Below are 25,564 nucleotides of genomic sequence, written 5' to 3' on the forward strand. Positions count from 1 at the left end.
AAAGTGCTGGGATTACAGGCGTGAGCCACCGCCGTGCCTGGCCGCCAATTTATTAGTTCTCATCAAATGCACTAAGAGTCAAGGATGCTACACTGTCACCCTGCCATGGACCTGTCTTCTGGGCTTCAATAGTAAAAGCCTTTCAACCTATGTAAAATATGGAATGGCTTCATGCCAAAACTGGACAGTTAATATTATTAGGATTTATAAATCAGCAGCAACATTCTATTTTCAATGTGCCTGGGTAAGGCCTGCCAAGTAATTGTGCCTGTTTTCTTGCTTTTAATATATTTCACAGTGTTCCTTAAGGGGAATGAGTGGAAGAAGAGAAAGAGACGTTCATGAGTTAATTGAAATCCCTTCTTGTGAAATACTTACTTTCCAAAGAAAAAAACACATGAGAAAGTGTTGTGCCTTGTGTCAAAGTCTCATTGTCCACTGCATACAGAAATAGCACAGAATTATCAAGGCCTGACTCTTAGGCCATTTTCTGCCCCTTCTCACCGAAGATCTGCATAAGTAGCTAGAATAATTTTAGTAATTATCCTCCATCGTCTCCTGTGTTGAAATCGGTATGTCAGATCCAAAGGGAGACAGGAGGAGTCAGCTCTCCTGACTGTGGGGGCTCCAGACCCTAATTAAAAAGGTCAGACAGGAACAATGAGCAGAAACCAACCACAGGAGACATTTCAACATCTGTAAACACGTGGAAAATTCAGCCAAGTAGCATTTAGATAGCCTGGACAATAGGGCCATTATAAATGCTGCACTCATGAGCAGTGATTCAAATGACAGCTTTGAAAAGGATTTGCAAAGAGCCCTTTGGAAATGTAACATGGGCAACTCCGAGCCCATGACATGTTACAAGGACAAATCTGACTGAACAAAGATCCAAAGCAGCATTGAATGACTTATTTATTCATTCCTGCTCTGTACAAACCTGGGAGAATGTGACATATTTTAAATTACCTCCCCTGATAGGCAACATCCATGGTGCATGGGAAATGTTAGCCAAGTTTTTAAAAGAGCAGAATGTTTCACAAGGTGGCAATTACACCACACTGATGCTTCCACCAAATTCTGCAAATTGTCCTCGTGTCTCACGGTCTTAAGACTGAAGGAGTGATGGCCACATCTGGAGAGGAAAATTCTGACTTTTATTTCCTTCCACTTACTCTCTTTACAAATCTGTTTGAAGAGCTAGTCCTTGCCAAGCCTTCAGGTGGAAAACTCTTCATGTGCATACTATCTAAGTAGTTGTAATAACATTCTAATTTTACTCCCCCAACAAAGTGTTTTCCTGATATTCTGTGGGGAGTGGTTGTGTTCTGATCACAGCTGGTTATTATTATTCAGCCTAAGAGTCTGCAGAACTTCTGCATGCCCTGGGGTTTCTGTTGCGTGGTGGTGTCATGCAGTAGGAAGAAAAAATATGCTCTGGTCGCAGTGTCTAAGTAACTCAAATCCAAGCAAACATTCCCAGCACGCCTTCTGATGAGCAGCATGCACTCATGGGCAAGGCTGGGATTAGGGTGAGGCAAGCTAGGTACCTAGGGGGCAAGCTTTTTTGTTTTTTTGTTTGTTTGCTTGTTTTTTGAGACAGTCTTGCTCTGTCATCCAGTCTGGAGTGCAGTGGTGCGTTCATGGCTCACTGCAGCCTCGACCTCCTGGTCTCAAACGATCCTCCCACCTAAACCTCCCACATAGCTGGGACCACTGGTGTGCACCATCACACCTGGCTAATTTTTTTTTATTTTCTGTAGACACAGCATCTCCTTATGTTGCCCAGGCTGGTCTTGAACTCCTGGGTCAAGCAATCCTGCCACCTTAGCCTCCCGAAGTGCTGGGATTACAAGCATGAGCCACCACGACTGGCCCTGCAAGTTTTAAAGAAGCACTCACCTCACACTTGCATGACCCTGCAAGTGAGCTCCTTAAATTTTATACCCTAGACACTCACTTGCCTCACCCTATTCCAGGCCTGGCTCACTGGCTTCACACTTTCATTTTCCCACTTACTTCTCAGCTCCCTGCCCACCACAGATACTGTGGGTCAGAAGTACAGTCCCAGAGTTGACAATACTCAACAAAGAAGAAACCTTTAATGGCCAGGTGCAGTGGCTCATGCCTGTAATCCCAATACTTCAGGAGACCAAGGTGGGAGGATCACTTGAGTCCGGGAGTTTGAAACCAGCCTGGGAAACATAATGAGACCCCATCTCTATAAAAAAAAATTTTAAATTAGCTGGGCATGGTAACGCGTGCCTGTGGTCCTAGTTATGTGGGAGGCTGAGGTGGGAGGATCATTTGAGCCTGGAGGTGGTAGAGGCCACAGTGAGCTATGATTGTGCCGCTGTAGTCAAGAAGCCTGAGTCACAGAGCAAGACCCTGTCTCAAAAAGAAGAGGAGGAAGAGGAGGAGGGAGAGGAGAAGGAGGAGGAGGAGGAGGGGGAGGAGGGAGAAGAAGAAGAGAGCTTTAGGAATGAAGGACTGACTAATCAATAGTGAGATTAGGCCGGGTGCGGTGGCTCACTCCTATAATCCCAGCACTTTGGGAGGCCGAGGTGGGTGGATCACCTGAGCTCAGGAGTTCGAGACCAGCCTGGCCAACATGGTGAAACCCCATCTGTACTAAAAATAAAAAATTAGCTGGGCATGGTGGCGCATACCTGTAATCACAGCTACTCGGGAAGCTTAGGCAGGAGAATCGCTTGAACCAGGGAGGCGGAGGTTACAGTGAGCCGAGATCACGCCACTGCACTCCAGCATGGGCAACAGAGTGAGATTCTGTCTCAAGAAAAACAAAAAGAGTGAAGTTACAGCGAGGGATCTAATGAGGGATTTGGCCATATGAAGGCCACGGGTGACCCAAGACCAGAGCAGATTCAAGAAGGGTTGTTGATGAATGACCTGTTAGGGTCAGGCCCCAGGCTGTGGGCCCAGATGATGAAGGAGAAAGAGAAAGTTTTGTGAAACTGGCCGCAAATGTTCCCGGAACCTTCCTGTAAGAGAGCTGAGGATCTTCCCAGGGAGACATCTGCCCTGCCGGAGGCTTCCTTCTCCCCTCTACCTCCCGCAGGTATGGGTGTCACTACCCTGGGGTCTGATCTAAAGTCCTTCCAACACTCACTGCTCCCTTCCCAGCCCACTGAGAACAGGTCTTACCCTGACTGGGATGCAGCCTTAGATACATGTACTTCCTTCTTGGCAATCTTACTTTTCCTTCATCCTGTGATGTCATAAAGTCAAACCAGGCAGCTTAGCACCAAGGAGAGAGAAACAGGGAGTCTCTGGTTCATGGATGCCAACAAATGATTCACACCAAAGCAGGCTTTTCTATTATGAAATTAGGAGTGTACTTACTTGAGAACCTCAAGAAAATGAGGACTACCCTCCTGACCCCGTTTTCCCCTGCCCCACACACACATAGATGGCCCTCTGTGGTCTCCCTATTCATCCTTCTAGTTATACTTTTTTTTTTTTTTTTTTTTGAGACAGCGTCTTGCTCTGTCACCCAGGCTGGAGTGCAGTGGTGTGATCTCAGCTCACTGCAACCTCTGCCTCCCGGGTTCAAGTGGTTCTCCTGCCTCAGCCTCCCAAGTAGCTTGAGACTACAGGTGCCTGCCACCATGCCTAGCTAATTTTTGTATTTTTAGTAGAGATGGGTTTTCGCCATATTGACCAGGCTGGTCTCGAACTCCTGACCTCAAGTGATCTGCCCACCTTGGCCTCCCAAAGTGCTGGGATTGCAGGCATGAGCCACAATGCCCAGCCAATTTTTTATGGCCACATAGTATTCCATGGTGTATATGTACCACATTTTCTTTATCCAGTCCACTACTAATGGGCCCCTAGGTGGATCCCATGTCTTTCCTATTGTTAATAGTGCTGCAACGAACATATGAGTGCATGTGTCTTTTTGGTAGAAGGATTTATTTTCCTTTGGGCATATAGCCACTAATGGGATTGCTGGGTTGAATGATAGTTCTGTTTTAAGTTGTTGGAGAAATTTCCAAACTGCTTTCCACAGTGGTTGATTGTTTTGCTTTTAATAATATCTAAAGAAAGTATTCCTTTCCGTAGGGCTTCTGCCAGCATGACTCAATCTCAGATAATCATTATAGACTAATCATCATTATGACATGATCATATTTCAATTATCCTCTGTGTAGTCTGGGTATATTAAAGTAACCGTGAGTTCTCTTGCTGAGAGAAGTTCATTAAGATCATAATGTGGATACGATTTTTTTAAGTGTGTTGAAAAACAAGGGGGAACATACCAAAAACAACAACAGAATGATCCAGAGGATTTTCTAGCACACATTCAGAAACCATATCTTATCTTGTGTTTTAAAGGGCTCTGTGACGCAAAACCTCGGCTGGGCACAGTGGCTCATGCCTATAATCCCAACACTTTGGGAGGCCGAGGCAGGTGGATCACTTGAGGTCAGGAGTTCAAGACCAGCCTGGCCAACATGGCAAAACCCTGTCTCTACTAAAAACACAAAAATCAGCCAGGTGTGGTGGCACATGACTGTAATCCCAGCTACTGGGGAGGCTGAGGCAGGAGAATCGCTTGAACCTGGGAGGCAGAGGTTGCAGTGAACCAAGATCATGCCACTGCACTCTGGCCTGGGTGACAGAGTGAGACTCCATCTCAAAAGTAAATAAAAATAAAAACAAATAAATAAAAAATAAAGTGCTCTGTGATGTAAAGCCTAACAGGCTGTTTCCTTTTGGCCCAAATATGGCACACCGTGACCAGCTAGCTGTATTTACCCAACTTCCCAATATATAAGATACCCTTAACCCCTGGTTCACAGTGACAAAAACCTATGAAAATCATTCAAAGAATAAGGTTAATCATACTGTTTGAGGTCTAGCTGTATTGATACAGGATCAGTCCCTAATCTATTGGAGAAAAGGAAAAGTAATTATCCCCTGAGAATTCATCCAAAAGAAACAAAATTTTTTGTGTGTGACAGGGAGGGTCTTACTCTGTCACCCAGGCTGGAGTGCAGTGGTGCGATCTTTGCTCACCACAACCTCGACCTCCTGGGCTCAAGCGATCCTCCCACGTCAGCCCCTTGAGTAGCTGGGACTACAGGCGCACCACCACACTCGGCTAATTTTTGTATGTTTTGTAGAGATGGGGTTTCACTATGATGACTACAAGCTGATCTCAAACTTCTGAGCTCAAAAGATCCTCCCGCCTCAGCTTCCCAAAATGCTGGGATTACAAGTGTGAGCCGTAACACCCAGCCAAGAAATATTTTAAAATATAAATAGATCTTTATATAAAAGATATTCATATTTATAATAATAAATCAGAAACCTTCCTATATGTCTGACAATAGTGAAACAGTTGCAAATGGAATATTGAGCATAGAGTAGAAAGGAATGAGAATGAGGCAGAATATTATGCAGCCATTGAAAATTCATGCTGATGGTGGGGCACAGTAGCGCACACCTGTCATCCCTACACTCTGGGAGGCTGGGGAAGGTGGCTCACTTCAGCTCAGGAGTTCGAGATCAGCCTGGGCAACATGGTGAAACCCTGTCTCTATATTATAAATTAAGTAAATAAATAAATAAAAGAAACTTATGCTGATATGGACAATGGAAATTTAGAAAATTGTCTTTAATGTAATGTTTAAATGTTTAAAGTATCATCTATACTGTAATTACAATTGTATAAAATAATTTCCCATTTAGATAAGGAATGGAAAGAAATATAGGAAGAAAACAGTTGTGTCCAAGTGATTAAATTGTGGGTCATTAATCTTTATAATAATTTCTTTTGTAGCTGCTATAATGTTGAGTTCAAATAAATAAAACTTGGAAAGAAAAGGAAAACACTCAAGTGACACATTTTTCCATGCTAAGCAGAAAAGTCAGTGATACTTGGGAACAGTCCACATTTTTCCTTGCTCCTTCAAAGCAGCCTCTAATCTTGACCCAGATGGAGGGAATACTCATGTTCTTCTTGCTGGGAAGACTGTACTGTGGGTTGAATGGAACAGAAATCTCAAACTTTCCAGTATTGTTTGGTAACAAATGCAAAATGCATTTGAACCATTCATTGGTATAGTTTTTCCGTGACAAATATTATGCACAAAAATCTTGCAGACAGAAAATGATGTATTTTTTCTCTCCCCCCACCCTTTTTCTCTCTCTTCCCTCCAATTTCTGCAGTTCTGCTAAGCCAATATTCTCTAGAATGAGCACAAAACAAATCGAATAACAGCTAAACAAATCGAATAACAGCTAAACGAATCGAATAACAGCTTTTGTACATCAACATCAAGAAGGAATACGCCTGAGAGAGATCAGAGTATATAGATGAATATGAACAAGAATGGAACATTCACTTGTCAACGCACTTTCTAAATCTAGATCAGCAGAGATGGGAGTGATTTTCTGGAAAGAGATGTGATCATGGATTAAACACCAGCTCATTGGAAACTCATTGGATGAGATCAGAAAACGTTCATGAAAAATCATATTCAGGAAATAAGGAAGAGGAATATAAATGCTCTAGAGTTAACATGTAAAATATATACGTACTGAGGTTTGTAAACTGTCCTTTTTAAATCAAACTGAAAACAAAAAGCTTTAACCTTTCAACAGAATTTTTAAAAAGGCAGTTAGTTCTAAATTATTCCTATCTCAATAGCCAAGAGGCTGATCAAGCGTCATTTATTGAGGAAGCATCTTAGAAAATGCCTCTGAATGTTTTCATAGGAGCCGTGACCTTTGGTTCTTCATCTCTACCATTCATTTACTTCACTGTGTAATTAGTTACAACCACTCAGTTATTAAGAGACGTAACGCTTCAAACTTTTTACCAAGTCTGTGTTCTGTTTAATCTGTCCATACAAGTTATTACTGAGAAAGTGTTTATGCCATATACTATTACTCCATCAAGCTGTATATTACAGGAAGTACATCTTTACATCATAGGTTCCCAAGCAACATAGATTTCCCTATCTTTCAGGAAACAGCATCAAGGAACTCTGAAAAATATAGAAAAAGTTCATTTTCACCTTGGAAGCTCACGTGTAATATTATAGGCTACTATCAAATAAACACTTTTTTTCTAATTCTCCCTAGTATATGCATAGGAATTTAATATACTTTATAAATAAGTATCTAAAATGTCTCCTACTTTTTTCCTATTTCTTTGCCATACATGTTATCAGAAATCCATGTCTTCTATTTCCCTTACTGATGGGCACTCATTTTTATTTTTTTAAAAATCATTCCATTAAACATATTTCTAAATAATAGTAAGTGGTACTAACAAAATAAATAATAATTTAATAGCCTTAGAAATAAATGACTGTATACTTATACAGGTTGAAAAAAACTCGGTAGGAATAAGTTACCTTTTTGTTTACTAATGTTGGTTTCAAAAATACTCAGATTCATTTTAGTTGGCTGACATCTGGAAGTAGTTAACAACTAACCAGTGGACTTCAACAATCATTTGCTCCCAGGCTTCCCCCATCATCACCCTCACCACATATCCTGCTAATATCCAACAACAAACAAATATTTAATATTGAAATAGCCCATTGCCTGAGAATGAACACAAGCTAAAATACATGCAAGGGTACTTAATGGAAGCCAAACCATGTTCTATACCTAAGGAGAAAACATGGACATGTAGAATGCTTTTATTCATGTATTCAAAATCAGAACAAATCAGTGTATATCACTAGAACATCAGATGGAGGATAACACAAGAAGTGATACAGATCAGGGTTCACTTCTCTTACCCTCTCTCTGTTAGGACCACATTCCTATTTTAGCCAAATGTTTCTGGTACGGGCCATCTTTTCACCATAAATGGCATTATGTTTCAAATGGCTAAAAGCATATTATGGGTATGCTCAAAGGAGTAAAACCCAATTCACAGAGATGTGGCTTTTCTAAAGAACCAAATTAAGGGAATACTTAGTATCTACAACTAAAGTATTAGTCATTCTGAGGATTATTTGTTGCTTTAAGTATTAGCTCCCTACTACATCCATAACACCCTACTTACTAAATTTAATTACACACAACTTTTCAAGAATTCGTATTTTATTTGAAGGGAGGTACCTGTCTACTTTATCTACAATAAAAACAAAGGGTATTGGCTTTCTCTAATCCATGCAAACTACAAATTCCATCGGGAGTCCTACATCACTAACAGTGGTATGAACAAAACTAAGAAAGTACTTCCTATCCACATGTGAATGTTTTAAAAAAGTTTTTGCCATAAAACCTAAGTGTAATTTAGCATACCACAGTGCTCTGAAGATGGGTCATTGACGATGTACCATTTGTATATAGGTAATACACATGTAAATCACTAATTGTTAATTAAATATAAGAAGTAGGTTTTTATCTTTTTAAAAAAAAAACAAAAAAGGTGACTCCCTTTCTCATTCTGTTCTGTTGTATTGCGTCCAAAAGTTGTGTGTAATTTTTTTAAGGTCCAAGAAATGTAAAGAAATTTGTTGGAATACCTGAATTTCTGTAAAAAAATAAAAATAAAAATAAGATTTTGTTACTTAAAAGAATTTTTGGTGGTGTGGTACATATTTGGTGCATTCAGTTTCTGTCTTTGTCCAGTGATCTGGTGACAGCTGATGGTTCCACTGAAGTAACTATCTCGGAAAATCTCCCTGCTGTTGGATTCCATATCTGTCAACAGCAGGACTCTCATGTAGAAGGCATGGTTAACATCTCCAAAGCCTCTTCTGGCCAAATGTAGGAATATCTCCAGCTAATTCTCCATACACTCAGTGGAATGAAATTGATAACTAAATAAATAGCTGGACTACTCAAGTAAAACTTGACCTGCAATATCCAATTGCCCAATCTCCCCTTTGCAAATTGAAAACAACCAACCATTCCTCGCACATGAGCAACCCTTCATACTGGGTATATGAAGCAACAACACTTCATACTGGGTATATGTTGTCTGAGTGGGTTCCAATCCCTGATCCTTGGTTTACTATATGACTCTGAACAACTCTAAGCCTCAGTGTCCTCACTGGTAAAATAGATATAAATAATATTACTCAGCTCCATAGCATTGTTGTAAGGATATAAATTAAACTATACTGTTGTTGTGTTTGACAGGTAGGGGATATTCAGTGAATGTTCATTCCTTCCCCTCCTACTATATGCAAGACACTGAAGGAAGAAAAGAAACATAAAAAAAAGTCTCTGCTCTGAAGATCCTGAAGACAATTAGAGTGACATTTATAAGCAGGGATTGAAAATTCAAATGCGTACAAGGGCCAATAAATTCACAAAGCAAGCTCAGCTGGGGACATAATAGGGCGTAGTAGGAACTGGCCTGGCACAGTGGCCTCTAATCCCAGTACTTTGGGAGGCTGAGGCAGATGGATCACTTGAGTCCAGGAGTATGTGACCAGCCTAGGCAATATAGTGAGATCCCTTCTCTGAAAATAAAAAAAAAAAACAACAATAATTTTTTAAATAAAATAAAATAAATTTTTAAAAGGAAGTAGTGGGAACTGTGGAGCACTGAAGAGCCTAGGTCCCGTCTAAAGGGAATAAGTAGTCAACGCTCAGCTCTAATGATTCAAGAAATATGTATTGAGTTCCTACTATGTGCCAAGAACTGTTCTAAACTCTGAGAATATAGTGGTGAATCACACAAAACCCTGCTTTCCTTTCATAGGTCTTATGTTCTAGTAGGGGAAGACAGACAATAGACTGGAAAATGTCAGCTAATAATAGATGCCCTAAAGAGAATTAAAACAGGGTGATTGACAGAGAAATGGAGAGAGGAGTCAGGTAAGGCCTCCATGAAAAGGTGGCATTTAGAGTGAGACCTGAACAAACGTTTAAAAGCCACGTGTGAAAAAAGCAGAAGGCATGCCAGACCAGGAACGGCAAGGTGGCAGAGTGGGGAGCCACGTGGGCTAAGCTAGGACCCAGCTCTGGGCTTTGTAGGCCAGGATAGTTTGTACATTTTAAGTGTGAGAAAAAGCCACTGGAGGATCTTAAGCAGAAGAGTGATATAAACTATTTCACATTTCTAAAAGATTACTTTTGGTTTCGGCATCTAGCAGTATAAACTAGATACTCTAAAAAGCCTTTCTTTTTTTTTTTTTTTTTTTTTTTTTTTTAAGACGGAGTCTGGCTCTGTCACCCAGGTTGGAGTGCAGTGGGGCGATCTTGGCTAACTGCAACCTCCGCACCACCATGCCCAGCTAATTTTTGTATTTTTAGTAGAGACGGGGTTTCACCATGTTGGCCAGGCTAGTCTTGAACTCCTGACCTCATTATCCACCCACCTTGGCCTCCCATAGTGCTGGGATTACAGGCGTGAGCCATTGAGCCCAGCCTCTAAAAAGCCTTTCTTATGCCATACTATTAAATCTTAGATAAATTACAATAAGTTTATTTTTAACACACAGCTTAGATTATAAGAAAATAAGGGAAATTCCAAAAACATTTCAAAAAAGAAGTGGAGTGAGCTGAAAACTAAGTGTGAAATGTAAGCAAAGGCAAAAACTGGGCTTGCCTGAAGGTAAATCTGTATAACAAAGTAGGGAATGGAAGATTAAGCGTTGGGCCACTGGAAGCAGGTGAGTTAAATTTGACATTCACATCCAAAAGCAGGATGCTTGAAGATGGCTACATCCTAGGCAAGAGTGGTCTAGGAAAAATCCTCATGCTAGCGAAAGAAATCTATCAAGAACACCATCTCCACACTGGCTCTAGATGGAAAAAAAAAATAATAATGACCCCTTGAAATTTATCATATGCCTGCCCCCGTCAAGTATGGAATTCAGTCTTACACTCTCCATATGATCAAAGAAACCCCAACCAAGAAATTAAAGAGCTTTTTAGGGCCCCTTGTACCAGGCAGATACAAGCATTTGTTGTCTAGAGGAAAGCATCTCTCGCATAGCTCTCACCAATTAAGCTCAACAAAGTATGCAATTGCAATTTTAAAATTACTAAATATGGCTGGGCGCGGTGGCTCACGCCTATAATCCCAGCACTTTGGGAGGCCGAGGCAGGCGGATCACGAGGTCAGGAGATCGAGACCATCCTGGCGAACACGGTGAAACCCCGTCTCTACTAAAAATACAAAAAGAAAAAAATTAGCCGGGCGTGGTGGCGGGTGCCTGTAGTCCCAGCTACTCGGGAGGCTGAGGCAGGAGAATGGCGTGAACCCGGGGGGCGGAGCTTGCAGTGAGCCGAGATCGCGCCACTGCACTCCGGCCTGGGAGACAGCGAGACTCCGTCTCAAAAATAAAAATAAAAATTACTAAATATACAAATAAACTGTAAGCGATAATCAGCAGATATAACTAACAGCCGACTTATCACCCTACAGATTTTAGATAGTGGAATTACCAGATACACAATATAAAATAATCATGTTTTACATGTTAAGGAAATAAAGACAGCGTCTAAAACAATGAATACAATAAAGAGTACATTACATATAATCAGATAGATTAGAAGGAAATTTTTTAAGTCTTAGAAATTAAAACTATAATCACTGAAATTTAAAGTACAATGTGTAAATTACAAACAGGTATAACTGAAGAGAGGAGCTGTGAACTAGTAGACAGATCTAAAGAAATTACACAGAATACAATACAAAAAGCCAAGGGGTTGGTAAATGACAAAGAGGTTAAACAACAGAGAAGACACAGACATCTAACCAGATTTCCAACAGGAGAAATAGAGAGAATAAGGGAAAGGCAATATTTGAATAGAAAATGTCTGAAAATTTTTCAAAAATGATAAAGATATGAATCCACACATATAGGAAGCACAATAGATATCAAGCAAGATAAATATAAAGGAAGACATGACAGTAAAAATACAGGGAAAAACAGAGGAACTACCATAACAAGAACCAAAGAGAAATGGCATACCTCAGGGTGCGTGCCTGTGGTCCTGGCTACTTGGAGGCTGAGGCAGGAGGATGGCTTGAGCTCAGGAGCTCTGGGCTGCAGTGCACTGTGCCCATCAGGTGTCCGTGCTAAATTCAGCATCAAGAGGGTGACCTCCCTGGAGCGGGGAACCGCCAGGTTGCCTAAGGAGGGGTGAACCGACCCAGGTCGGAAACGGAGCAGGTCAAAACTCCCGTGCTGATCCTTTGCACCACCTGCAAAGGAATAATTTCTGGGCCAACAATAAATACCAGACACATTAGCATGATATATTTAAACTGCTGAGATAAAATAACTGTCAAAATAGACAGAGCGCACTGGCTCATCTCTCTACTCCCAGAACTTTGGGAGGCCAAGACAGGCAGATCACTTGAGGTCAGGAGTTCAAGGCCAGCCTGGCCAACATGGTGAAACCCCATCTCTACTAAAAATACAAAAATTAGCTTGGCGTGGTGACGTGTGCCTGTAATCTCAGCTACTCCGGAGGCTGAGGCACAGGAATTGCTTGAACCCCGGAGGCGGTTCTAGCCTGGGTGAGAATGAGACTCTGTCCAAAAAAAAAAAAAAAAAAGAGAGGAAAAGAAAAACAACTTGGCATTATCTTCTACAACTGAACATTTGCATGCACTAAATTCATCAGTTTTATTCCTAGGTATATATGCTGGAGAAATTCTTGCACATAAGCACCAAAAACCATGTACAAAAATGGAAAACCTTCGTCTAACAGATTGCTAAAAATACAAGGAAAATGTCCATCAACAAGGATAAATAAACTATTTACAATTTGCAGTATTTTTAATTGACTAATTTAATACCTCTGTAAGCATGGAAATGAATAAACCTCAGTTACAAACTTCAATATAAATGATTACATTAGATCAGAAATACAATGTTGAATGCGGAAAAAAACAAATTGCAGAAAATATACTATGGCTCCACATATAAATCTCAAAAAAAAAGAGAAACTAAACTGTATATTGTTTAGCAATAAATACATCTATGCTACAATTATAAAGATGTAAGTATAGGAATAACAAAAAAAAAAATCCAGAATTGTGTTTACTTCTGAAGAGTAGGGAGGGGTTACAATCAGGGAAATGCATACAGGCTATGTCAATAGTTCAGAATTTGAGTGGACAGTTCATAGGCTCATTTGTTTTACACTTCTTAAATTGTATATATGTTACATTTTTGTATCAAATATAATCTAATGAAATAAGATCAAATAAACAGAATATCTTAAAAAGATAACTAGGGTCAGGTGCAGTGGCTCACACCTGTAACCCAGCACTTCGGGAGGCCAAGGCAAAAGGATCGCTTGAAGCCAGGAGTTCTAGACCAGCCTGGGCAACGTATCAAGACCCCCATCTTGAAAAAAATAAAAAATAAAAATCAGCCTGGCATGATAACGCATGCCTGTAGTCCCAGCTACTGGGGAGGCTGAGGTGGGAGGCTGAGGTGGGAGGATTGCTTCAGTCCAGGAGTTTGAAGCTGCAGTGAGCTATGATTGTGCCACTGTACTCCAGCTGAGAATGGACTGAGCAAGACTCTATCCCTAAGAAAATAAAAAATAAAACATAGCTGTATTAGTCCATTTTCACACTGCTGATAAAGACATACCCAAGACTGGGCAATTTATAAAAGAAAAGGTTTAACTGGACTCACAGTTCCACGTGGCTGGGGAGGCCTCACAATCATGGCAGAAGGCAAAAAGGAGCAAGTCACATCTTGCATGAATGGCAGCAGGCAAAGAGAGAGCTTGTGCAGGGGACCTCTTGTTTTTTTAAACCATCAGATCTCGCCGGGCGTGGTGGCTCACGCCTGTAATCCCAGCACTTTGGGAGGTGAAGGCGGGCAGATCACGAGGTCAGGAAATCGGGACCACCGTGGCTAACACGGTGAAACCCCATCTCTACTAAATATACAAAAAATTAGCCGGGCGTAGTGGCGGGCGCCTGTAGTCCCAGCTACTCGGGAGGCTGAGGCAGGAGAATGGCGTGAACCCAGGGGGCCAAGCTTGCAGTGAGCCGAGATCGCGCCACTGCACTCCAGCCTGGGCGACAGAGCGAGACTCTGTCTCAAAAAAATAAATAAATAAAATAAAATAAATAAACCACCAGATCACGTGAGACTCATTTACTATCACGAGAACAGCGCAGGAAAGACCCGCCCTCATAATTCAGTCACCTCCCACCGGGTTCCTCCCACAATACGCGGGAATTGTGGGAGTTACAATTCAAAATGAGATTTGGGTGGAGACACAGCAAAACAGTATGAATAGCTGACAGTTGTGAAAGAAATGAATGGTCGAATGAAGAGCAAAAGCAAGGAGACGGGGAAAGGCAATGCAGCAGTCAAGGTGAGAGAAGGTGGTGGCTTAACCAAAATCGTAACAGCAAGATAGAAAGAGGCAGGTACACTTGGGATAATGTTGCAGATTTGGTTTCCAGAAGGGGAGGGAAGGACACAGTCTAGGCAGGAGGAGATGCTGGGCTCTGAGGAGGTCTCCATGAGGGCCTTAGCTGACCCCACAGGCAGCACTGGGATGTGCTGGGGTGGCCTTCCAGAGTTGTCTTGGGTTACTGAGGGAGTGGGCCTTTATATGCAAGCAGGAAGGGATGTGATCTTGGGTAAGGTGGCTCTCTGCAGCTGAGGGCAATTTGCGGAGAGGGCAGAGGGCTGTGAGGTGGCAGCATGCCCAGCAGCTGTGGGAATAAGTCCTGCAGTCCTGGGAAGGGCTCTGCGTAGCACATTATGGCATCTGCTAAAGAGAAGTGTGTTTTTGGAACATAAGACTTGTTGAGGGATTGAATGTGGAAGATGAGGAGAGAGAGCTACTAGGTTTTTTTTTTGCTCTGAGGGTAGATAGTGGTGCTATTTACTGAGAAAGGAAGAAGAGGAGAAGAAGCAGGGGTTTGGGAGATAAAACTCCAAAACTTCTTTTTTAAGTTTAAGCTGCTTATTAGAAATTCAATTCATAGCCGGGAGCAGTGGCTTACGCCTGTAATCCTAGCACTTTGGGAAGCCGAGGCAGGTGGATCATCTGAGGTCAGGAGTTTTGAGACCACCCTGGCCAACATGACGAAACCCCATCTCTACTAAAAATACAAAAATTAGCAATCCTACTCATGCCTACTTGGGAGGCTGAGGCAGGAGAATTGTTTGAACCCAGGAGGCAGAGGTTGCAGTGAGCCAAGATCACGCCATTGCACTCCAGCCTGGGCGACAGAGTGAGACTCCGTCTCAAAAAAAAAAAGAGAGAAAGAAAGAAATTCATTTTTAGATATCAAGTAGGCTATTAGTAGAGTTCTAGGGAGGAGCCTAGGCTACAAATCCAAAGTTAGTAGTCATGGCAAATAGATGGCTTTTAAAGATTTGAAGCTAGATGAAATCATTTAGGAAGAATGTACAAATAGAGAAGAGGATGCTAGACCAAGCTGAGACCACCTGACTTGGAACAACGGACAGAAGTCAGCAAAGCAGATTAAGAGGGACCCGCAAAATGGGTTGTTACGGAATCCAAGAGGGAGAAAAAGTATTTTAAGAAGTAGATATCCTGAGAGTGACACTGTAAAAATAAAATTTTAAAAAAACAAGTAGAGAATGATTAAGTGTCGACCAGGCATGGTGGCTCATGCCTGTAATCCCAGCACTTTTGGAAGCCAAGGCGGGCAGATCACCTGAGGTCAGGAGTTTGAGACCAGCCTGGTCAACATGGTGAAACCCTGTCTCTACTAAAAATACAAAAATTACCAGGCATGGTGGCCCTCACCTGTAGTCCCAGCTACTCGGGAGGCTGAGGTGGGAGGATCGCTTGAATCCAGGAGGCAGAGGTTTCAGTGAGCCAAGATTGCACCACTGCACTCCAGCATGGGTGACAGAGTAAAAGCCTGTCTAAAAAAGAAAAAAGAAAAGCATGATTAAGTGGCAAATGCTGCCAAAAGGGCAAGTAAGACAAAAGCAGAGACAAACTACTGGATTTGGCAATTGTGGAGGCTCTTGGTGACATTAACAAGAGCAATCTTCATGAAATAGCAGAAATATGAGGAGCGAATTGGGAAAAAGTTGATGTTGAGGTGGTAGAGAAAGCAATATAGGCAACATTTACAAGAAGTCAATTGTTGCAAGTCAAACCTGAGAAACCAAGGCTGCTAGCTTTCCTAGTTTCTCAGCAGAATTTTTTTAGAATATAGGCCAGACGCAGTGGCTCATGCCTATAATCCCAGCACTTTGGGAGAATGAGGTGGGAGGATTGGTGGAGGCCAGGAATTTGAGACCAGTCTGGACAATATAGTGAGACCCTGTCTCTACAAAAAAATTTTAAATTAGCCAGGCATGGTGGTGAGCATCTGTAGTCCCAACAGGAGGATTTTTTGAGCCCATGAGGTCAAGGCTGCAGTGAGCTATGATCTCACCACTGCACTCCAGGCTGGGTGACAAAGTGAGACTCCTCTTCTAAAAAAAAATAAATAGAATACAAATTGTCAGGTAAGTTGATGCATTGTCAAACACAGTGCAGGCCAACATTGTGAGAGTCAGAAAAACCTCTAGGGATCAGGTTTAGCCAGTGGGCCAGGAGTTTCTGACTTCTATGAAGAGGGCATACTCTCAAGAAAGAAGCTAAACATCATGGCAGAACATGCGAAGGGACAGGTGAGTGAGACAGATGCCAAGGGCTGCAGGAACCCTTGGGAAGCCTGCAGTGGGGGAAAAGGATGAGTAGGATCAACTCTAAATGACCACGGAGAGGAAGACAAGCCTCAGGTGGACTGTGTCTGAAGGTCTAGACTGGGGGAATGGGAAGCAGAAATTGTCAGCAAACTCTTTTGGCCACATAACCTATCCTCTAGTACAGCATTTATCCACCAGTAAAACATGTTTTAATTTCCATATATCTGACTTCTGTGTGGCCCTCTCATTGATGTTATTTAGGTAGGGAGGCCAGATTGTTAATGGTTTTTAATTCCAGCTACTTTGAAGGTTGGACTTTATTCTGCAGGCAATGGGAAACCATTGAAAGTTTCTGAAAAACGGAAAAGAATAATCCAAGTGTGATTTTAAGAGGATTATTTCTTTATTAGTGAGCAGGATGGAGTCACGCAAGGCTAGATTACAGCCCACTTAGGAGATTCTTCCAGTTATGGAAATATAGACTGAGGGATGGGCCGGGCACAGTGGCTCACGCCTGTAATCCCAGCACTTTGGGAGGCCAAGGCAGGTGGATCACGAGGTCAGGAGTTCAAGACCAGGAGCCTGGTCAGGAGCAAAACCAGGTCAGGAGTTCAAGGTCAGGAGCCTGGCCAACATGGTGAAACCTCGTCTGTACTAAAAATAGAAAAAGTGGCTGTGTGTGGTGGTGGGCACCTTTAGTCCCAGCTACTTGGGAGGCTGAGTCAGGAGAATCGCTTGAACCCAGGAGGTAGAGGTTGCAGTGAGCCAAGATCGCGCCACTGCACTCCAGCCTCTGTGACAGAGTGAGACTCTGTCTCAAAAAAGAAAAAAAAAAAAAGAGACTGTGGATGAAGACCAACTGGGGTCAGGGAATGAAAAGGAGGACAAAGATGATGCTTGGGTTTCCAGTCTACATTATTAGAAGATGGGGGGTGGGTGGAGGGCAACCACTTACTGGAGTGAGGGAAAGCAGGGGTTTGGATGGAGCCGCGTGATGAAAGCACTAATAGTCAATATTCTGATAGCACCGTGGAGTGTACAGGTGCCTTCGTGTCCATTATCTCATTTGCCCTCATAACTACCCTGTGAGGTATTATTATGCCCACTTTACAAATGAGGAATCCGAGGCTCAAAGAGGCTGAGTGATGCCCTTCATTAGGTCTTGACCCCAGCTGTTCTCACTCCTTGTTTTGACAATGGCTTTTCGGATACACTTTGGCTCTTGCTGTTCAGTGTGAAAAGATGTCAGCTTATGTTTGCCTTTCACAAGTCATGTCCCGAAAACTTCAGTTTCTTGGGGGAATTAGCTGGATTCCATTTCTTTGATGCTGGTTCCTTGTGATCCTTCTAGAAGACTAATAACTTATATAAGTCAGCTGGAGGAAAAAAAAAAAGAAAAATCCATTTCTAAATCAGTTTTCCCTTTTGAGAGAATTTGGCATCCAGGTGTAAGTGTATAGCTTCCTCTGAAATGAAACATTAATTCTCTCACCTAGTCAGGAAACAAGTTAGAACATTAAAATTCATCAGATGAGAGCCAAACCCTCGTGAACCAAGGTAAGTAAATGCGTTTACCTCACCCCGTACTACCGGCTACTCCTCTCTCAAAGAAAAAGTTGGGACTCCTCTTCTGACAGGTGAGATCTGTTTCGTTATCCCACCACAAGTCAATAAGTTCAGGGCCTCAGATGTCAAACCAAACTGTGTGTCAATCCTAACTTCCCACATTATTTAAGCACTGGATTTTTCTCTGGCATTAACTGAATGGAACTTCACCTGAGGACAAAATTGGCTGTTACATTTGTAATTATGGAGTAAAGGTTGATTCTTAGCCAAACCAGGCTGGAAAACTGAAAGAATTCAAAAAGTAAGTGTGTAGATGTGACGCTATCTTGCTGATGCAAAGTTTCTCAAGTCAAAACATTTACTTGAAACTTTGGCTTCCTCCAAAGCAATAATTTTTTACATTTTAGGAGCAGCTTTCCTTGTAAAAGCCTTTACACTTGTCAGGCCTTCTGCCTTAACAAAGATTGTGAATTCTCTTCTAGGTGATTAAAATCAATTCTGAATTAAATACAGTTGCCCTGATCATGTCAAAAACGATGCAGCTGCTTTCCTACAGGTTAACTTATCTTGCAGATTTAAAAATCAGTTGTTTTTAAAACTTGGTTTGTACTGCCATCTAGTGATACATTTCATTGACAGTTTCAACATGCTAAATTTATATAGATCCACAGGGTTATCCTTAAGGGCAATGTAGTGCCACATCTATTTTTTCTTTTCTTTTTTTTTTTTTTTTTTTTTTTTGAGATGGAGTCTCGCTCTGTTGCCAGGCTGGAGTTCAGTGGCGCGATCTCGGCTCACTGCAACCTCCACCTCCTGGGTTCAAGCGATTCTCCTACCTCAGCCTCCCGAGTAGCTGGGATTACAGGCGTCCGCCACCATGCCAGGCTAAATTTTTAAATTTTTAGTCGAGACAGGGTTTCACTATGTTGGCCAGGCTTGTCTCAAACTCCTGAGCTCGTGGTCTGCCCGCCTCAGCTTCCCAAAGTGCTGGGATTACAGGCGTGAGCCACCGTGCCCAGCGAGTGCCACATCTTAAATAGAGCATTTACATTTGCAAATATAGAGAGAAGACTACCTCCTATACACAACAAAGTTCCCTCATATACCTTACAGACTAAGAAAAAATTTTTTATCATAAATATTAAAGAGAGCCCAAGCATGGTGGCTCACGCTTGTAATCCCAGCACTTTGGGAGGCCAAGGTGGGAGGATTGCTTGAGCCAGGAGTTCAAGACCAGCTGGGCAATATAGTGAGACCTCATCTCTACAAAATAAAAATTAAAAAATTAACCAGGCATAGTGCGCACCTGTGGTCCCAGATAAACAGGAGGCTGAGGCAGGAGGATAGCTTGAGCCAAGAGATCGAGGCTGCAGTGAGCCGTGTTTTACCCCACTGCACTCTAGCTTGGATGACAGAGTGAGAACCTGTCTCAAAAATAAACAAACAACAAATATATATATATATACACACACACACACACACACACACACACATATATATATACATATATATATGAAAGAGATGTCCCACTAGTATCCTATTAAACCACAGAGACTAGTGGGCTTCTTACATTAGCTTTTTTATTTACATCTTTGATTTTTACCATAATTAAAGCAGTTCATTTCTCCTAGATAAACAAATACAATCCTGGATGTTGAATTTAATGGCCAATCTGTTTGGAAAGGCAGAATTGCATAAAGGTTAAATGCATGGGAACTAGCATGATGCTCTCTGGGTCCAAATCCTAGCTCAGCACCTGCAATCTGTGTGCCCTTAGGTCAGTTATGTAACATCTCCATGCCTCAGTTTTCTAATCTGCAAAATATGGATAATAATCAAACCTACTCATAGAGTAATTTAAGAGACACTATACTTAGCACAGAGGCTAGCACAAAGTAAATGTTCAATAAAACACAACCAGAGCACAGTGAGCCTAATTTGCATAGCCCCGTGGGATGCTGAGATAGCAGGGAAGCTCCGGGTCTCATTCCACCGGAAAATAGATCCTTAGACACAGTAAAGACCAAGATCAGGACTCTGGATGCTAGAATCACCATATGATCCAGCAGTTGCATTTCTGGGTATAAAGGAATTGAACTCAAACAGATAAATATATGCCAATGTTCATAACAGTATTATGATAGCCAAAAGGTAGAAACAACCCAAATGTCTACTGATGGAGGAATGGATAAACAGAATGAGAAATATACATACCAGGGAATATCATTCAGTCTTCTTGTTTTCCTTAGGCCATCCTAATGAACAAAATTCAGTCTTAAAAAGAATGAAATTCTAATACATGCCACAAGTGGATGAACCTTGGAAACATTATACTAAGTGAATAAATTAGACACAAAAGGACACATATTGTATGATTCCACTTATATGAAGTACCTAGAATAGTCAATTCATAGAGACAAAAAGTAGAATAGAAGTGACCAGAGGCTACAGGAACGGAGGAAAGGGGAGTTCACGTTTAACAGACACAGGCTTTCACTTTGGAATAATGAAAAACTCTAGCTATGAATATAGCAGTGATAACAATGTGTTGAGGGTCATGATGTATTGTACAAAAAAGAAAAAAACCTCCACAACAACAATGTGAATGTAAATTGTACACTTGAAAATAATTAAAATGGTAAATTTCATGTTATGTGTATTTTATCACAATTTTCTTTTAAAAGTACAGGCAGGCCAGAGCCCTGGCCACATGCTCCTCTTTCCCACTTCCTTTACCCTCATTACATCCATATGCTTGCTGGGCAGCCCAGGACCACATCCAGAGGACAAGGATAGTGGCCAGGATGCACCAGGAACTCAAAGGAGACCTTCCGAGCTCCCCCATCTTCCCTCCCCCACCCCACCACACACACATACCAACACACATAGGCAGGCACCTTTAGAGGAAGGAAGAAGATGCAACACTCTGGGATCCTAGAAAGCTGGGAGGACTGGTGCAACAATTGCCCTTTGACTCCAACCTGAGCTCTAATTTTCCCCTATAGCTGCCTTGGTCTGGTAATCAAGGTTACACTTTTAAAAGAAGGAAAATGTCAAAAAAGTGGACATGATCCTAATTACATTTGTGTGCAGAGCAAGAAATGAATGTGAACAACTTCGATGCCTACTGATTAATGCTGAAAAACAACTCAAATGAACCAATGAACCAAAAGATAAGCCAAATCCAGAAACAGCTGTGGCTCAACCCCCAGCAATGGACTGGAAATCCATGAGACAGCTCCGCAGATAGAGAATGAAAAGTCTGTTCTTACATACGTTATACTCAGAGTAAGTAATCTTATGTGTAAAAGCAGCCAGGGAAAAACAAAATCAAAATGTCCCTTCCCCAAAACCCTTCTAGGAAACAGTCATCTTGTGAAAAAACAAAGTTTTGGCCCAGTGTTTTGAAAATATCTTACAGTGAGGCATACATTTTTTAAAAATGTATAACCCAAATTTATTACTTATTTATTGCTACATAACAAGTCACTTCCAAACACTGTGCTGTAAAACAACAGTCTTACTATCTGTCACATTTTCTGTGGGCCAGGAATTCAAACAGAGCACAGTGGAGATGGCTAATCTCCTCCAGAATGTCTGGAACTTCAACCAAAAAACTTGAAGGCTGGAGGCTGGAATAGGCTGATGGCTTCTTCATGTACATGCCTAACAGTTCATACTGGCTGTTGACTAAGGGCCAGCAGCATCACCCACACCTGGCCTCACTATGTGGCCTGGGCTTCCTCACAACATGGCAGCTGGGATCAAAAGGCAAGCATCAGCAGCGTGCAGTAGCACATGTCTGTAATCCCAGCGCTTTGGAAGGTCAAGGCAGGAGAATCACTTGAGCCCAGGAGTTTGAGACCAGTCTGGGCAACATAGTGAGACACTGTCTCTACAAAAAATTTAAAAATTATCCAGGTGTGGTGGCACACACCTGTAGTCCCAGAAACTCAGGAGGCTGAGGTGGGAGAGATTGCTTGAGGCCAGGAGGTTGAGGCTACAGTGAGCCCTGATTTCACCACTGCACTTCAGCCCGGGGAACAGAGCAAAACTCTGTCTCAAAACAGGGGGAAAAAAGGGAGGAAAAAAAGTATTCCAAGACAGAACCAGAGAAAAAAGTATTGCCTTTTATGACCTCACTCTGGAAATCATTCAGCATCCCTTTGGCCATGTTCCATCACTTGGTGCGGTTACAAAGATCTGTCTAAATTCCTTAGAAAGGAAGGAGACATACACCCCACCTCTCATGACACAGCGTAGAAAGAGCATGTAGGATGTGATATGTAGCTACATATTGGTGTAGCCAACTTTGGAAAACACAGTTTGCCACATTGTGCTTTATCTCAGTTAATCCTCACCCCCAAAAGAAACTGTATGCTATTACTATTTTACAGTAAAGGAAATGAAAGCTCAGAGAAGTGAAATAACTTTCCAAAGTCACACACTTAGTAAATGGCAGAGTAGAGATTCTGACTCCAGTGTCGAAGTCCTTGATCCCCAACCTGCTCTTCCTGCCATAGGTCACATTGCCTTATCTACAATTACAGAAGCTGGAAGTTCAAGTTCCAGGTCTCCTTATAAATATGTACAAGTTCTTAGAAGAAAAATAAATATAGAGGCATTGGATTCTCTGCTCCTTCTATACTCAGGGCTGCAGCTTCAGAGTAGACTTTATAGAAATATTCTATTAGGCCCAACAGTACCAAGTACATTCACAGCCCAGGGGAGACATCAGTGGGCTTCATATGCCGCCAAAGAATAAGCCCAAAAGTACCTGCAAAATGGCCAGTGCACTTGGCACTGTTAGTTGCCACCATTTGGACCTTATCCAATTGACCCTAAAATTGGCCCAAGTACTTGTGGTAGCCAACTTCCACAAGGTGGCCCCAGCGATCTTTACCTCTGGGTATTCACACCCTTGTGTAATCTCCTCCCACACTCTGTCAAAGTCGGTCTGTGTGACCAACAGCATAAGGCAGAAAATGGTGTATTACTTCCAATATTTGGTTTTAAGATACCATGACTTCCATCATGGGCTCTCTCATCACTCACAAGGGAAGCCAGTCGCCATGTTGTGAGGACAGGCAGGCAGCCCATGGAAAGGCCTGGAAAGCAAGGAACTGACACCCTAGCCAACAGCCAGCAAAGAACTGAGGCCTGCCAACAACCATTTGAGTGAGTTTATACACAGATTTTCCAGCCCCGGTCAATCCTTGAGATGACCACAACCCCAGTGAACAGCCTGGCTGCAACTTCATGAAAGACTGCCTCAGAGCTACCCAGCTAAGCTGGTCCCAGATTCCCTGACCCTCAGAATAAATGTTTATTGTTTAATGTTTACATTTAATGTTATCAATAAACCGATACCTTTAGGGGTCATTTGTTACATAGTAATGGATAACTAACAGAGTATTGAATTTAAAATCATGATTATCTGTTAGTAGAAAGAGTTGGGGCTTTGGAGACAAGCACACTGCCTTTAAATCCTGATTCCACCACTCCCTGGGTGAATAGCATGGACTCTCTGAGCCTCAGTTTCCTCATAAGAATGGGGATGATAAATTTATTCTCAAGACTGAGGATCAAAGGAAAGAAGTTAGAACAGGGAATATTCCTCTTCTTCCTTCTCAACATTTAATTTTTTAATTTTATTTATATTTATATTTTATTTTATTTTATTTTTGAGACGGAGTCTCACTCTTTCGCCCAGGCTGGAGTCAAGTGGCACAATCTCAGCTAAATGCAACCTCCTCGCCTTGGATTCAAGCGATTCTCCTGCCTCAGCCTCCCGAGTATCTGGGATTACAGGCACCCGACACCACACCCAGCTAGTTTTTGTATTTTTAGTAGAGACGTGGTTTCACCGTGTTGGCCAGGGTGGTCTCAAACTCCTGACCTCAGGTGATCCATCGCCTCGGCCTCCTAAAGTGCTATGATTACAGGCGTGAGCCACCACGCCCAGACCCTTCTCAACATTTTAAAACCGGAGTGAGGAATTGCCTCAGAGCAAGCACAACTTGCTCTGGTGATAATAATAATTGTACAACCAACTTCACTTATACTTTTATTCTTTCTATAGACACATTAGAAAGAGTGTAGCATTAATAGTAACATATCATGTATGTTTAAATCCTGTTATGCAGAAATGATAAACCAAAAAATCTGCTTATAGTATAAGAAAATAGTTACATTATTAAACAAACACCGTGAACATATTTTAGCTGCTTCCCATCTACATATAATCGGTCAACAATTCATAGACAACTATTTATTGGGTTCCCATTATGTCCCAGATATTGTCCTAGGTTCTATGAGGAATGAAAAATAGTCTAAGAAGGGCTGGGCACTGTGGCTCATGCCTGTAATCCCAGCACGTTGGGGGGCCGAGGCAGGTGGATCACCTGAGGTCAGGAGTTCGAGACCAGCCTGACCTACATGGTGAAACCCTGTCTCTACTAAAAATACAAAAATTAGCCGGGCATGGTGGCACACGCCTGTAATCCTAGCTACTTGGGAGGCTGAGGCAGGAGAATGGCTTGAACCTGGGAGGCGGAGGTTGCAGTGAGCCAAGATTGTGCCATTGCACTCCAGCCTGGGCAACAAGAGTGAAACTCAGTCTCAAAAAAAAAAAGAAAAGAAAAAGAAAAATAGTCTAAGAAATCATCTCTGTCTTAAAGGAATTTATAGACTTTTTAACATAATATGAAAACCAAAATACTGGCCAAGCATAGTGGCTTATGCCTGTAATCCCAATGCTTTTGGAGGCCAATGCAGGAGGATCACTTGAGGTCATGAGTTTGAGACCATCCTGCACAACACAGTGAGACCTCATCTGTACAAAAAGTTAAAAAATTGTGCTGGCATTGTGGTGGGTGCCTGTAGTCCCAGCTACTTAGGAGGCTGGGGCAAGAGGATCACTTGAACCCAGAAGTTCAAGGCTGCAGTGAGCTATGATCTTGCCACTGCACTCCAGCCTGGGCAACAGAGTGAGACCCTGTTTCAATTACAAAAAAAAAGAAAGAAAGAGGAATATCTTACGCTGTAAGTGAAGTTGCAAGGAAGTAAATGACTAAATAACAGCAAGGTGAATTGGCTTCAAATATGCAGATCTTAATCTCAGATTTACTGTTTACTAGCTTTGTGGATTGAGGTATAATCACTTACCTATCTGTGCCTCAATTTCCCCATCTGTAAAATTGGGCTAATAAGGTATGAGGTATGCCTCACAGAGTTGCTGTAAGGACCAAATGAAGTTTTATATATAGAAGTATGCACACACACACAGAGTGCCTGATATAGGAAAAGTACTCCATTTCTTTTTCTTTTTTTTTTTCTGAGATGGAGTCTTGCCCTGTCACCTAGAGCTGGAGTGCAATGGCTTG

The 25,564-nt window shown here is 42.0% G+C and overlaps 1 protein-coding gene, 1 long non-coding RNA gene and 1 pseudogene across 3 annotated transcripts in view, besides 1 other annotated feature; 2 read left to right on the plus strand and 1 right to left on the minus strand.

The window, feature by feature from the left end:
* LHFPL3 (LHFPL tetraspan subfamily member 3) overlaps positions 1 to 8,570 on the plus strand; it is a 579,959-nt gene extending 571,389 nt beyond the window's left edge. For both annotated transcript variants that reach the window (NM_001386065.1, NM_199000.3), the window contains one exon: positions 6,196 to 8,570. Coding sequence is in view for 1 of the 2 variants with exons in the window: in NM_199000.3 (NP_945351.1) it covers positions 6,196 to 6,224 (29 nt within the window). In the remaining variant the exon portion in view is untranslated. The remainder of the gene's footprint in view (positions 1 to 6,195) is intronic.
* The window catches only part of LHFPL3-AS2 (LHFPL3 antisense RNA 2), a 32,018-nt gene that overhangs the window by 5,364 nt on the left and 1,090 nt on the right, over positions 1 to 25,564 (minus strand). The window contains exons 2-3 of the long non-coding RNA NR_027374.1: positions 20,394 to 20,434; positions 11,925 to 12,085 (exon numbers count right to left, since the gene is read on the minus strand). This is a non-coding gene — a long non-coding RNA (LHFPL3 antisense RNA 2). The remainder of the gene's footprint in view (positions 1 to 11,924; positions 12,086 to 20,393; positions 20,435 to 25,564) is intronic.
* Positions 10,188 to 10,344: a silencer, noted in NCBI's record as "fragment chr7:104550626-104550782 (GRCh37/hg19 assembly coordinates)". NCBI's record gives its function as "represses an EF-1alpha promoter that drives an FKBP-Casp9 reporter gene in an ReSE screen in K562 erythroleukemia cells {active_cell/tissue: K562}" and the evidence as "EXISTENCE:reporter gene assay evidence [ECO:0000049][PMID:32094911]".
* Positions 11,882 to 12,154, plus strand: RN7SL8P (RNA, 7SL, cytoplasmic 8, pseudogene; annotated as a pseudogene).

This window comes from Homo sapiens, chromosome 7, assembly GCF_000001405.40.
Source record: "Homo sapiens chromosome 7, GRCh38.p14 Primary Assembly".
NCBI lineage: Eukaryota > Metazoa > Chordata > Mammalia > Primates > Hominidae > Homo > Homo sapiens.